We start from the raw sequence: 12,641 nt of genomic DNA, 5'->3' as shown, positions 1-12,641 counted from the left end.
GAAATAGAACTGGATGGACAGCTGGCTTCAGAGTTTGCATGAAGAGTACATAATCCTACTTATGTAACCCATCGTGTTTGCAAAATCTGCACTGCAGTTTTTTAGGAGGGAATGAGATGTTTGGAAATAAAATCTGCTGTGCAGGAGTGGAAAATTTATCCACTTTCCACATTATTTTTGTTGCCTATATTTTTATTTTGCATTCTCAAGAAGTATGTATCCGTGCTTGAATGTTTTGCCTTTGCTGCACATGTCAGGAATGCAGAATTGGTGAATTCTGGTGCAAGATCTATTCATTGACCTTTACATGATAGGAAAGTTGTTTAACTCCTTCAGGATTATGATTTCTTAAGTTTAGAGTCAATTGGCCTCGACTGGGGTTGAATGGGGAAAGGAGGGCATGAGGAATGAATACTTATGCAGCCCTTAAAAGTGTGAGGGTCCATTGTTCACATGGTAAATCTGCAAACAAAGTCAGTCATTATATCCATGTGCTGGACTTTTTTTTTTTTTTTTTTTTTTAAGACAGATTCTAGCTCTGTTGCCCGGGCTAGAGAGCTGTGGCACAATCATAGCTCACTACAACCTTGAACTTCTGGGATCAAGTGATCCTCCCACCTCAGCCACCCAAGTAGCTAGGACTACAGGTGTGCACCACCATGCCCGGCTAATTTTTAATTTTTTGTAGAGAGGGGTCTTGCTATCTTGAACAGGCTGGTCGTAAACTTCTGGCCTCAAGCAGTCTTCCTGCCCTGGCTTCCCAAAGTGTTGAGATTACAGGCATGAGTCACTGCGCCTGGCCTGTTTGGTTTTATTTTTAATCGGCCCTATAATATTTTCATCCTGATTCTGATTTACAGCACTGTTCCTTTATCGTTAGTAGGAACTGTCATTCCTTCATAACTAGTGATTCTGTTGGGACTGTAGATTATATTAACTCAGTTTTTGGGCACTGGCCAATAATATTACCCTATCAGCTGGTAACAATGATTGGTCTAAGGGAGGGGACATGGACAAGTTAGCCAGTCAGAGGCTTTCCCTGGGATTTTACATACTAATAAGGAGGGATTGGGGGAAAGAAACTTTCTTCCTTCCTTCCTTCCTTCCTTCCTCCCTTCCTTCCTTCCTTCCTTCCTTCCTTCCTTCTCCCTCTCCTCCCTCCCTCCCTCCTTTCTGTCCATCCTTCCTCCCTCCCTCCCTCCCTCCCTCCCTTCCTTCCTTCCCTCCTTCCTTCCTTTCTTTTCTTTTCTTTCTTTCTGTTTTTAGATGGAGTCTCACTCTTGTCGCCCAGGCTGGAGTGCAGTGGTGTGATCTCAGCTCACTGCAACCTCCACCTCCCGGGTTCAAGTGATTCTCCAGCCTCAGCCTCCCAAGTAGCTGGGACTACAGGCACATGCCACTGCATCTAGCTAATTTCTGTATTTTCAGTAGAGACGGGATTTCGCCATGTTGGCCAAGCTTGTCTTGAACTCCTGACCTAGGGTGATCTGCCCAATTCGGCCTCCCAAAGTACTGGAATTACAGGCGTGAGCCACTGCACCTGGCGAAACTTTCACTTTTCTTTTCTTCTTCTTCTTTTTTTTTTTTTTTGAGACGGAGTTTTGCTCTTATTGCCCAGGCTGGAGTGCAGTGGTGCGATCTCGGCTCACTGCAACCTTTGCCTCCTGGGTTCAAGCAATTCTCCTGTCTTAGCCTCCTGAGTAGCTGGGACTACAGGTGCCCACCACCACACCCGGCTAATTTTTGTATTTTTTAGTAGAGATGGGGTTTCACTATATTGATCAGGCTGGTCCCGAACTCCTGACCTCAAGTGATCCTCCCGCCTTGGCCTCCGAAAGTGTTGGGATTATAGGCGTGAGCCACCACGCCCAGCCTGTTTATCCTTTAAGACCAGCTGAGATACCACTATCTTTGTGAACTCTTCTCTAATTTGTTTAGTTAACAATGGGTCTCCACCTGTGTCCTATATAGCCCTGTGTCTTAATGACATCTATTCCATTCTGCCTTCTATTGTGTGTTCCAGTGTTGTGTAATAATTCACCCAAAATTAATGGGTTAAGACAAGTACTATTTTATTATCTCATCATCTTCTTGGTTAAAGGTTTGAATAGAACTTAGCTGGGGGCTTGCTCCTCTTCGCCTGTTGTTTGATGGTCACTCAATGGTATTTAGCTGGTCTGATCTAGAAGGTCCAAGACAGCTTCACTCACCTGCCTTGCTCCTTGGGAGGGTTGCTGTTGCTGGTGTATCCTCTCTGTCCTTTTGGGTTTTGTTCTCTTTCCTTTTGGGTTCATGCCTTAAACAATTTCTATCCTGTTATTTTAGCAAGGTTTCTGGAGGGAGCATGTGTTCAATCTAGTATTTTTACCCGGAAGTCCCCAAAACCTAGTTTATAAAGTACTTTCATATTTAGTTTCTATTTTCTCTTTACAAGAGCCTGGTGAGTATTACGCCTCCATCTTTTAAGACAGAAAAGCTGAAACAGACACGTGTTTTGGCAGTCAAGCCTTTTGATTGCAAGGAAAAAAACTCACTCAAGCCAGTGAACGTATATGTGATATTCTAATTTAAAAAAGTATTCTCATCAGCCCCCAGGCTCACGCTTGTGGTCTTTGAGGGTTGCTGTGGGTGCACCATCTAGATTTTCCTGGTTTTTGGAGTCCAGGTGTTCATTGGGATTCTCAGATAAAATACAAGATTCCCAATTTTATTTGCATTTCAGACATATAACTAATAATTTTTTAGTAAAGATATGTTTCAGCTATTTAATGGAATACTGTACTTGTACTAAAAATCATTGTTTACCTGAAATTCAAATTTAATTGGGCCTCCAGAATATTTATTTGCCAAAGGTAACCGTAGTCTACTTAGGTCAATAAAGGGTTCATGAGTATGAGGAATGATTGAGTTTTATGAGAATAGTTAAGAAAACACCCTTTGGCCTTAGCGACGGACTATTTCTAAACCTGGAATCATTCTTCAGCAAAATCCTAAAGAAAGGGGAATGTTGTTCCCTGTTTTTTTTTTGTTGTTGTTAAAAAAAAAAACCCTTTTTACCTTTCCCTTTATGTCTCACCACATGTAAGCTGATTTAATTTTCAAGCTATCTTTCAGCAACATGTCATTGTCATATACTCAAAATAATAGATGTCATTTTTTGAGATCTTACTTCATGCCAGGCATATTGCTAAATGCTTTAGATGTATTATCTCATCTAATTCTCATATGAACAGTAGGTATCAGTAGCACAATCTTATTTTACAGGTGCATGGGGGGAAGATGCAGTTGATAAAGCTTAAATGAGTTGCCTAAGGCTGGTTACTAAGTGATTGAGGGGACAGTGGAACAGTAGTGCTCTAGTTTTTTCCTGAAAGCAGAGTTTTGTTGAAAAAGAAAGGCTGTGAAATTAGTTCATTGCATTTTTTTAATTATACTTTAAGTTTTAGGGTACATGTGCACAACGTGCAGGTTAGTTACATATGTATACATGTGCCATGTTGGTGTGCTGCACCCAGTAACTCGTCATTTAACATTAGGTATATCTCCTAATGCTATCGCTTCCCACTCCCCCCACCACACAACAGGCCCCAGTGTGTGATGTTCCCCTTCCTGTGTCCATGTGTTCTCATTGTTCAATTCCCACCTATGAGTGAGAACATGCGGTGTTTGGTTTTTTGTCCTTGAGATAGTTTACTATTGCAAACTGGAATGATGGTTTCCAGCTTCATCCACGTCCCTACAAAGGACATGAACTCATCATTTTTTATGGCTGCATAGTATTCCATGGTATATATGTGCCACATTTTCTTAATCCAGTCTATCATTGTTGGACATTTGGGTTGGTTCCAAGTCTTTGCTATTGTGAATAGTGCCTCAATAAACATACATGTGCATGTGTCTTTATAGCAGCATGATTTATAATCCTTTGGGTATATACACAGTAATGGGATTGCTGGATCAAATGGTATTTCTAGTTCTAGATCCCTGAGGAATTGCCACACTGACTTCCACAATGGTTGAACTAGTTTACAGTCCCACCAACAGTGTAAAAGTGTTCCTGTTTCTCCACATCCTCTCCAGCACCTGTTGTTTCCTGACTTTTTAATGATTGCCATTCTAACTGGTGTGAGATGTTATCTCATTGTGGTTTTGATTCGTATTTCTCTGATGGCCAGTGATGATGAGCATTTTTTCATGTGTCTTTTGGGTGCATAAATGTCTTCTTTTGAGAAGTGTCTGTTCATATCCTTCACCCACTTGTTGATGGGGTTGTTTGTTTTTTTCTTGTAAATTTGTTTGAGTTCATTGTAGATTCTGGATATTAGCCCTTTGTCAGATGAGTAGATTGCCAAAATTTTCTCCCATTCTGTAGGTTGCCTGTTTATTCTGATGGTAGTTTCTTTTGCTGTGCAGAAGCTCTTTAGTTTAATTAGATCCCATTTGTCAATTTTGGCTTTGGTTGCCATTGCTTTTGGTGTTTTAGACATGAAGTCCTTGCCCATGCCTATGTCCTGATGGATGGGGTCTTGCTCTGTCACCAAGGCTGGAGAGCAATGGCGTGGTCTTGGCTCACTTCAATCCTTGCCTCCCGGGTTCAAGTGATCCTCCTGCCTCAGCCTCCCGAGTAGCTGAGATTATAGGCACGTGCCACCATGCCCAGCGAATTTTTGTATTTTTAGTAGGGAAGGGGTTTCACCATGTTGGCCAGGCTGGTCTCGAACTCCTGACCTCAGGTGATCCCCCTGCCTCGGCCTCCCAAAGTGCTGGGATTATAGGCATGAGCCACCATGCCCGGTCAGTTCATTGCTTTTTTGTGTGTGTGAATAATTTGGTAAATTTTCTTTTTCCACGGCCTTTGGGATTTTATGTGGTTTTGGCCACAGAAGGAGTCCAGGTCTCCGAGTCTCTTGTCGTTTGTGCCTTCATGGCACCATGTGAACTCTCCTTTTCTTTTTGTTGCTCATTTTTGTAGGCCTGCTGGACAAATTCAAATTCCAAAACAGAAGATAGCCAACAAACCCAGAAGATATTGACTCTTTATATTCATGCTTTCACAGAACAATGATGAGTGGTACTATTCTGCAGGATAAAATTGGAAAGAACTCAGTACATTCATTGTTCAAAGCAATTGATTCACCCTTGAGAAAGCAGGCCGGTAGTTGAAGTGTGTTTACACAGTGACTCAGCTTCTGCTCAGAATTGGGTAACAGGTCTTTATTATCTTTACTTTCTTTCTTAGAAAAAAAAATTGACTAAGTTTTTACAGTGGGATGATTGCAGCATTTGGAGGTCTGCATAAAAATTTCAAATATTGTTGTTCAGCATTTTTGAAGAGCCCCATTATGATTTAGTCCCCATTTCAGTTCTTTCTCACCACAAGAAAAAAGATGCAGTTTTCTTTTCTTACTTAAATCTATCAATGAGGTAACTCTCTGAGTCGTGTGTGTGTGTGTTGTGTGTGGGTGCTGTTGTGTATGTGTGTTGTGTGTGTTTATACCAATAAATTCAAAAGATACTAATAGGGCCTACTGAAGGTAATATTTTGCTAGCCACATTTCTTTCCCCAAATCCTTTTTTTAAATTTAATTTTATTTTATTTTAAACTCTGGGGTACATACACATGACGTGCAAGTTTGTTACATAGGTAAACGTGTGCCACAGAGGTTTGCTGCACCTATCAACCGATCACCTAGGTATTAAGCCCAGCATGCATTAGCTATTTTTCCTGATGCTCTCCCTCCCATTGTACCCCGTGACAGGCCCCAGTATGTGTTGTTCACCTGCCTGTGTCCCTGGGGTCTTTCCCCAAATTTTAACAAATAGCTTTTCTACAGTTTGAAGCTGTGATTGAAAATGGGGGAATAGAAGAAGCTAGGAAGTCTTTAAACAAAGGACATTAAAGTGTGTCCAAATGAGTGGGAAACTGGGCCTCTTTATAATAGGCATGCTATGTCTTTTTGTGTTGAATAAACACAGCTATTCTGAATGCATCTCTGCTTTCAGAGACACACTGCAAAAATGCTAAGGATAGCTCAGCCTCTGGTACTAATCCCTTTTGTGACTTTGAGCAATTCCTGTAGCATCACTAGATTTTAAGTTTTCTCATTTCCAAAGAAGACAGGTTAGTTCAATGTTTCCTGACTTCAGTTATGTGCATAGCTTTCATTTTTTGGTCATATCCCATTATTATAGATGTGGCATAATATTTGTTTATTTCTAATATTTTTTATTAGAAATAAATTATATATATAGAATATTATATACGTATAGAAATATATATATAAATATATATAGAAATATATATAGAAATTATATATAGAGAATATTAGAATATTATTCTAATATTTCTAATATTTTTTTAAAAGGCTCTCTCTCTCTTTCCTTTTAACTGAGGTAAGTATATGAGGAATGCATGTCAGTGGTGAAGGCAATGGCCAGGAGAGAATAAGGTGCAGCCTGTGGAGAGGCCAGGGCAGAGGATGCGGTTCTCAGGCTGGGGGTTCAGGAAAATAGAGGGAAAGAGTTTGTAGGAACGGGGGAGAGGCAGACAGAGCTGGGCTTTCTGGCACTTCTTTTGAAAAAGAGTTTGGGCCCAGGGATGGAAGGGATGAAATCTAGAGAGTGGGAGGATCTGAGAATAAAGAGGGTGCTAAACTGAAGGGTTGCCAGGAGGGACTTAGGGAAGAGGAATCTAGGAAGCCGGGCTGGCGCCTGCTCCCTGGGAAAACAGTGCTTTCCCTTAGCCTCCTCTTTTCCTAAACACCAACCTGCTGGCACATCTGGCCACAGCCCTGTGCCTTCTTTCTGCCCGCGGTGTCTCTGAGCTATCACGTGCTACAGCCCCTCCTTAGGGAAGGCTGTGGCATGGGAATCTCGGCCCAGGAGGAGATCTGAGAAGGTGAAGGGTAGAGGAGTTTAAGAGGGACCCAGAGGTGAGAACTCAGGTTTTTGGAATCAGTTTCAACTCTAAAGAATGCCTCCAGTTCTACTATTCTATTTCTCCACAAACTGTTGCCAGTTACTGAAGGGGAAAAAGTTTGTTAATGAGAAAGGCCAACCTGTAGGTTCCTTGTTTCATGCCCTTTGTTTTATAGAATTTCAAATCAGTAGGTGGGAAAAAAGACTTGCATATCTTTATTTTTGGCAGTTTTCTTTATCACAATTGTTTTAAGTAACCTAGTTCTCTTTTCATTGTGCTCTTACTTTCAAGTGACTAGAAATCAGGTTATAGAATTAAAGAATGACTCAAATGGAATTTGAGGTTTGGGATAGAACGTGCTCAAGTCTTGGAATTAGAAGGCATGGATATCAGTTTTGGGGCTACCACTTGCTGACCTGGTCAAGCTATTGGATGTCTCCAAATCCAATGTATAATCATCATAAAAAATAACAATATTGATAATAATACCAAATTATTGTAAAAGGAGAAAGAAAAGATTAAGATGTCTATGACGATATTTCGTTAAGAGGAAGGCACTTGCAGAAAGCTTTCTTTTGTGCTAGGCATTGAAGTGGTTATTAATTAGGTCTCCAAGAGCAAAACAGAATTTTGGTGTTTATTGTATTTGTGCGATCAATGCCTACTATCACACTGTGGATTTGAATTACAAATCTTGTTTGGTAATCTTTCCCTAAGAAATGAATTCAAAGATTGTCAAATATCTACTCACTTCATACTTTTTATTATTAAGAAATTCTGGCATCTAAGTCTTCTAATATTCCACTAATATTCAAATAACCTACTGCTATAGGCACTACTAGTGAATTAACAAATATCTGTTGAGTGTTGCCTCTTGGTAGAACATTTTGATTAAATGGAGCATGCGTTTGCTTGAAGTGAGGGGCACTGCACACCCCCATGCAGCACAGCCCTAGGAACATCATTTCTAGGTGCCGAATGCCATGATGTTGCTTGAAGATAGGCAATGTGGTGGCCTGCTGGAGGTTGAAGTATATATTTTTTTGGTTGAGCAATTAAAGTATACAAAAATTTCAAGCTGTGTCCCAAAGGTCTTTTGAAAGCGATAATGATAGCTTGTATTGGGAAGTTTATTTCAAGGAAAGTTTACACATTTAAATGCAGGATTATCTAGTAGGAATTTTATATGCTGATATGAAATTCATGAAGGAATTCAAAAGCAATGCTTTGTTTCAAATTCATCAGACCTCTAATTTCTTCAACACAATAAATAGTTTTACCTTGAAAAGGCTTAAACAAAAGGCAATTGCCTAAACTTTCTCAAAATTCTAAATCCGAATGTGATTATGTTCTTCCTAAGTTGGAGCAAGAAAACAGAGATACTTCTAAAAAGTTAAAAACTTCAGTATCAAATTCTACTCTCTTCCAGATCTGACATCTTTTATTATGTACAATTATTGACAGGTTAGTTCATTATTTGCAATTAAGCGGGAAAAGTACTCATATTGAGTAATGGAGTCAGATAATTGCAATTTTATTTTTTAAGGTAATTAGTCATTACACAAATATTTTAGGTTTAAATCTATTTCGAGTTGAGGTTAATTACATCTGCCATGTCCCAATACAAATATTTAATTACTTTAGTGAGTGCAAGTTATATTTCCTCCCATGTTAAAAAACAGTGACTTCTAGTTTTATAATCAGCTTAAGTAAAAAAGGACAACACCAGATACTAACAATAGCTGTGCATTATAAAAATAGTTTAAGAATAAAATTATGCCAGTGGTATTTTAGCAATTGAATTAAGTAAAATTATCAAAGAAAGGGTATAGAAACATTACTCTTAAGGAGTGATTTGTTTGACTACATTGGAAAAGTTCCTAGGAACTGATGAAGTATAGAATGGAATTGTGGAATAAAAGGGTGGCAAGGAATGAAAAACAAAACAAACAAACAAAAAAACTGCATTAGTTTGTTTGCTGTTAAAGACATACCTGAGACTTGGTAATTTATACGGAAAAAGAGGTTTAATGGACTCACAGTTCCACATGGCTGGGGAGGCCTCACAATCATGGCGGAAGGCAAAAGGCACGTCTTACATGGCAGCAGGCAAGAGAGAGAATGAGAACCAAGTGAAAGGGATTTCCCCTTATAAAACCATCAGATCTTGTGAGATTTATTTACTACCATGAGAACAATATGGAAGAAACCACCCCCATGATTCAACTGCCTCCCACTGGGTGCCTCCCACTGGGTCCCTCCCGCAACACGTGGGAATTATGGGAACTATAATTCAAGATGAGATTTGGATGGGGACCCAGCCAAACCATATAAAAAACCAAACCCAATAATAGATTATCCCGATAGCTTCACTTCACCTCTGTGTATTTGGAAAGTGGGGTATAATGGCTAGTTTAATTTACTGTCAAATATCTGATTCACAAGGTTAAGTACACTATACATCATCAGTATAACTGGTTTGAAGAGTAGAAAACCTCCAAATTGTTTCTTTTAATTTATTCAGTACCAGTTATCTGTTTTGGAGAATCTTTGAGATGTAACAGGGTAAGCAGTCTATTCACTGTAGTAAATTAAGCTGTTATCTGGTGACCTGAGCCATGCAGATAATCAGAATTAGATAACTATTAGCAGGTAAGAATTTCCAGGGATTATAGGTTCACTCTGACTGGAATACAATATATTGAAGCAGTTTTCTCATATGCTATTGTTCATGGAATTAATTGGTTTTGAGTATTTCTGACCTTGTATAATTGCTGTGGTCAAATATTAAATATAGTCATTATTACAGGTAATGAAGCTGTTTTTAAAAATTATTTTGAAAATGAATACTTACATATTCAAAGGATTATTATGGCCATAAAAAGCTATTCCCTTATCTAATAATCTGTCATTAAGTGAAACAGCTCTAGAAATGTGTTGGAAAAGATTTGGTGATCCAATAATTTAACTTCCTTAGTTAACCTATAAGGAAAACAAGGTATGCAGAGACACAGATCTCTGCACACAAGATCACCCAGAATGATAATTCAAACCCAGTTCTTCTCTTCTGAAATTGCCTTCAATAACACACAGGAAAACTGCTTATTATAGTAGAGACAGGCATTGTTTTTGACCAAAATAGAGTAACACATTTTAATCACCACCTAACTCATGAGACATGCTTCCAAATTATTTGAGGCTTAAATTATTTGTTATTATGGAAATTTTCAAACATTACAGAAGTAGAGAGAAAAAGAAAGTGAACCTTAATATACATATTTTGCAGTTTCCACATTATAAATATTTTGTTCACTTTATTTTTCATCTCCACTACAACTACCATTGCTACTATTGCTGGTGGTAGTGTTAAATTTTGCTGGTATATTTTATATTTTAGAGTCCTTAATATCATGTCATCTAACTTATGTTACTAGTTTATTATGCATCCCTGACTTATAAGGACATTTTAAAAAACAAAATCACACTGCTGTTATCGTACTAACGAAATGAACAATACTTTCTTAACATTATTTTATACCCAGTTCATATTCCATTTCCTTGATTACTTCAAAAAGACTTTTTTAAAGTTAGTTTGTTTGAATCAGTGTCCAAACAAGGTGTTCACGTTGCATTTGGCATTTATATTCTTAACCCTTTTAATCTATAATAGTCTCTTTTAATTTTGTCATCTTTTCTCATTTATTTTGTCAATATTATTGATTGAGAAATCTATTGTAAATATTTATAAGGTACAGTGTGATGTTATGATATCTGTATGCAATGTGGCATGATTAAATCAAGCTAATCAACATATTCTTCACCTTGTTTACCTATCTTTTTTATGGTGAGACATTTGAAATGTACTCTCTTAGTAATTTTGAAATATATAATACATTATTATTGACTATAGTTACTCTGCTGTGCAGCAGATCTCGCAACCTATTTCTCCTCCCTATCTAAAACTTTGTACCCTTTGATCAACAGTTCTCCATTTGCTCCCTCACTGACTTGTTACACCCCCTTCCCCTGCCCCCTTTCACCCTCTGCCAGCCTCTGGTAAGCATCATTCTACTCTGTGCTTCTATGAGTTCAGCTTTTTAAGATTCTCCATCTAAGTTGATCATGTGATATTTGTTTTCTGTGCCTCGCTTATCTCACTTAGCTTAATGTCCCCTGGATTCATTCATGTTGTCACAGATGACAGAATTTTCTTTTTTTAAGGCTGAACAGTATTCCATTGTGTACATATGCCAGATTTTCTGTATCCATTCATTTGTTATTGGACACTTAGGTTGATTCCCTGTCTTGGCTATTGTGAGTAATGTGTTTGACTGTTTTGCATGTCTTTTGTTTCTTTCTTCTTCTCTTGCTGTCTTTCTTTGTGGTTTTGTGACAGGGCAGGTCTCACTATAACACAGAACTCCATAACAACTGTTTTACTACTGACTGAGTGCTTAAGTTAAATATTAAAAGCTGAAAGGGACAGTGCCCTTATACAAAGGCTGGAATGTAATAAAAGCTCATTAAGAGTTTTGCCTAGGCCTTTTCTGGGTCTTAAAGGATGTAAAAATAAAGCAATTCTTAACAGGATCTGTTTAAGATTAAACAAGTTTTATTGGGAGTCTGTAGAAACTCCCCAAACCTCCATGATTTAGCAGGAGACAAGATAAGGGTAATCACTTCAGCACTCGGACCCATTTAGTAAATACACTGAGTAAACTTACCCATCAGGAAATTTACTGAGGCTCCAGAGGAAGGTCTTCAGGACTCAGTTCTTAGTTGTAGATTAAAAGAAGTTAATCACTTATGTCTTTAGATGAATGCACACTTACACATCGACATATAGCTTAGAAGTTATATAAGCTCTGGAAGACTTTGTAATTTTGAGTTGGTCTGGTGATATTTTCCAGGCCTTGTCCCTATAACCAGTTACAGAAATGAAAACTCTCTTCCTCCCCAGTTCATCTGCATCTCATTATTGGGCCACGAGAAATAGAAGCCTGACCCTCAGTTTGGTTCCAGAACAGTTTTATGGTTTTCTGCGGTGGTATGCTTTCAATCCTTTCTTTTTGCATGTTGCAGAAATACTATAGGTTTTTGCTTTGTGGCTACCATGTTTATGTTTACATAAAACATCTTATCCTTCTAACATGCTACTTTAGGCTGATAATAACTTAACTTTACTCACATACAGAAACTCTACACTTACACGCTCCCTTCCCACTTTTTATAATTTTGATGTCAAGATTTACCTTTGTTTGGTAATTTGTATTCTTTAATAATTTATAATTATATATAATTTTATATATAATTATAATTTAATAATTTATTGTAGATACAGTTGTTTTTAATAGTTTTCTTTTAACCCACATAGTAGTGATACAAATGCTTTCCACATCACTGTAACAGTATTTGAGAATGCTGAGTATGACTATGTATTACTTGTATTATTGAGTTTTTTACTTTTGTGTGTCTTTTTGTTATTAATTAGCTTTTATTTCAGCCTAAAAATGAATTTTAGCAATTCCTATAGCATAGGCCTAATGCTGGTGAACTCTGTTAGGTTTTGTTTTCCTGGGAAAGTTTTTATTTCTCACTCATTTCTGAAGGACAGTTTTGCTGGTTAAAATATCCTTGATTGGCAGTTGTTTTCCCCAGCACTTTGAATATATCATTCTATTCTTCTCTGGCCTGCAAAGTTTCTGCTGAGAAATCTGCTGAA

At 38.1% G+C, this 12,641-nt stretch overlaps 1 long non-coding RNA gene across 3 annotated transcripts in view, besides 1 other annotated feature; it reads left to right on the top strand.

The window, feature by feature from the left end:
* LOC105377700 (uncharacterized) overlaps positions 1–12,641 on the top strand; it is a 348,217-nt gene that overhangs the window by 52,394 nt on the left and 283,182 nt on the right. The window lies entirely within an intron of this gene.
* Positions 11,060–11,561: an enhancer, noted in NCBI's record as "NANOG hESC enhancer chr5:162800374-162800875 (GRCh37/hg19 assembly coordinates)". NCBI's record gives its function as "activates a minimal SCP1, AML or CMV promoter by ChIP-STARR-seq in primed H9 embryonic stem cells {active_cell/tissue: H9 hESC(primed)}" and the evidence as "EXISTENCE:reporter gene assay evidence [ECO:0000049][PMID:30033119]".

Source organism: Homo sapiens, chromosome 5, assembly GCF_000001405.40.
Source record: "Homo sapiens chromosome 5, GRCh38.p14 Primary Assembly".
In the NCBI taxonomy this organism is placed as follows: Eukaryota; Metazoa; Chordata; class Mammalia; order Primates; family Hominidae; genus Homo; species Homo sapiens.
Note: the sequence above shows the minus strand (reverse complement) of the source record. Positions and strands in the feature narration are given on the sequence as shown.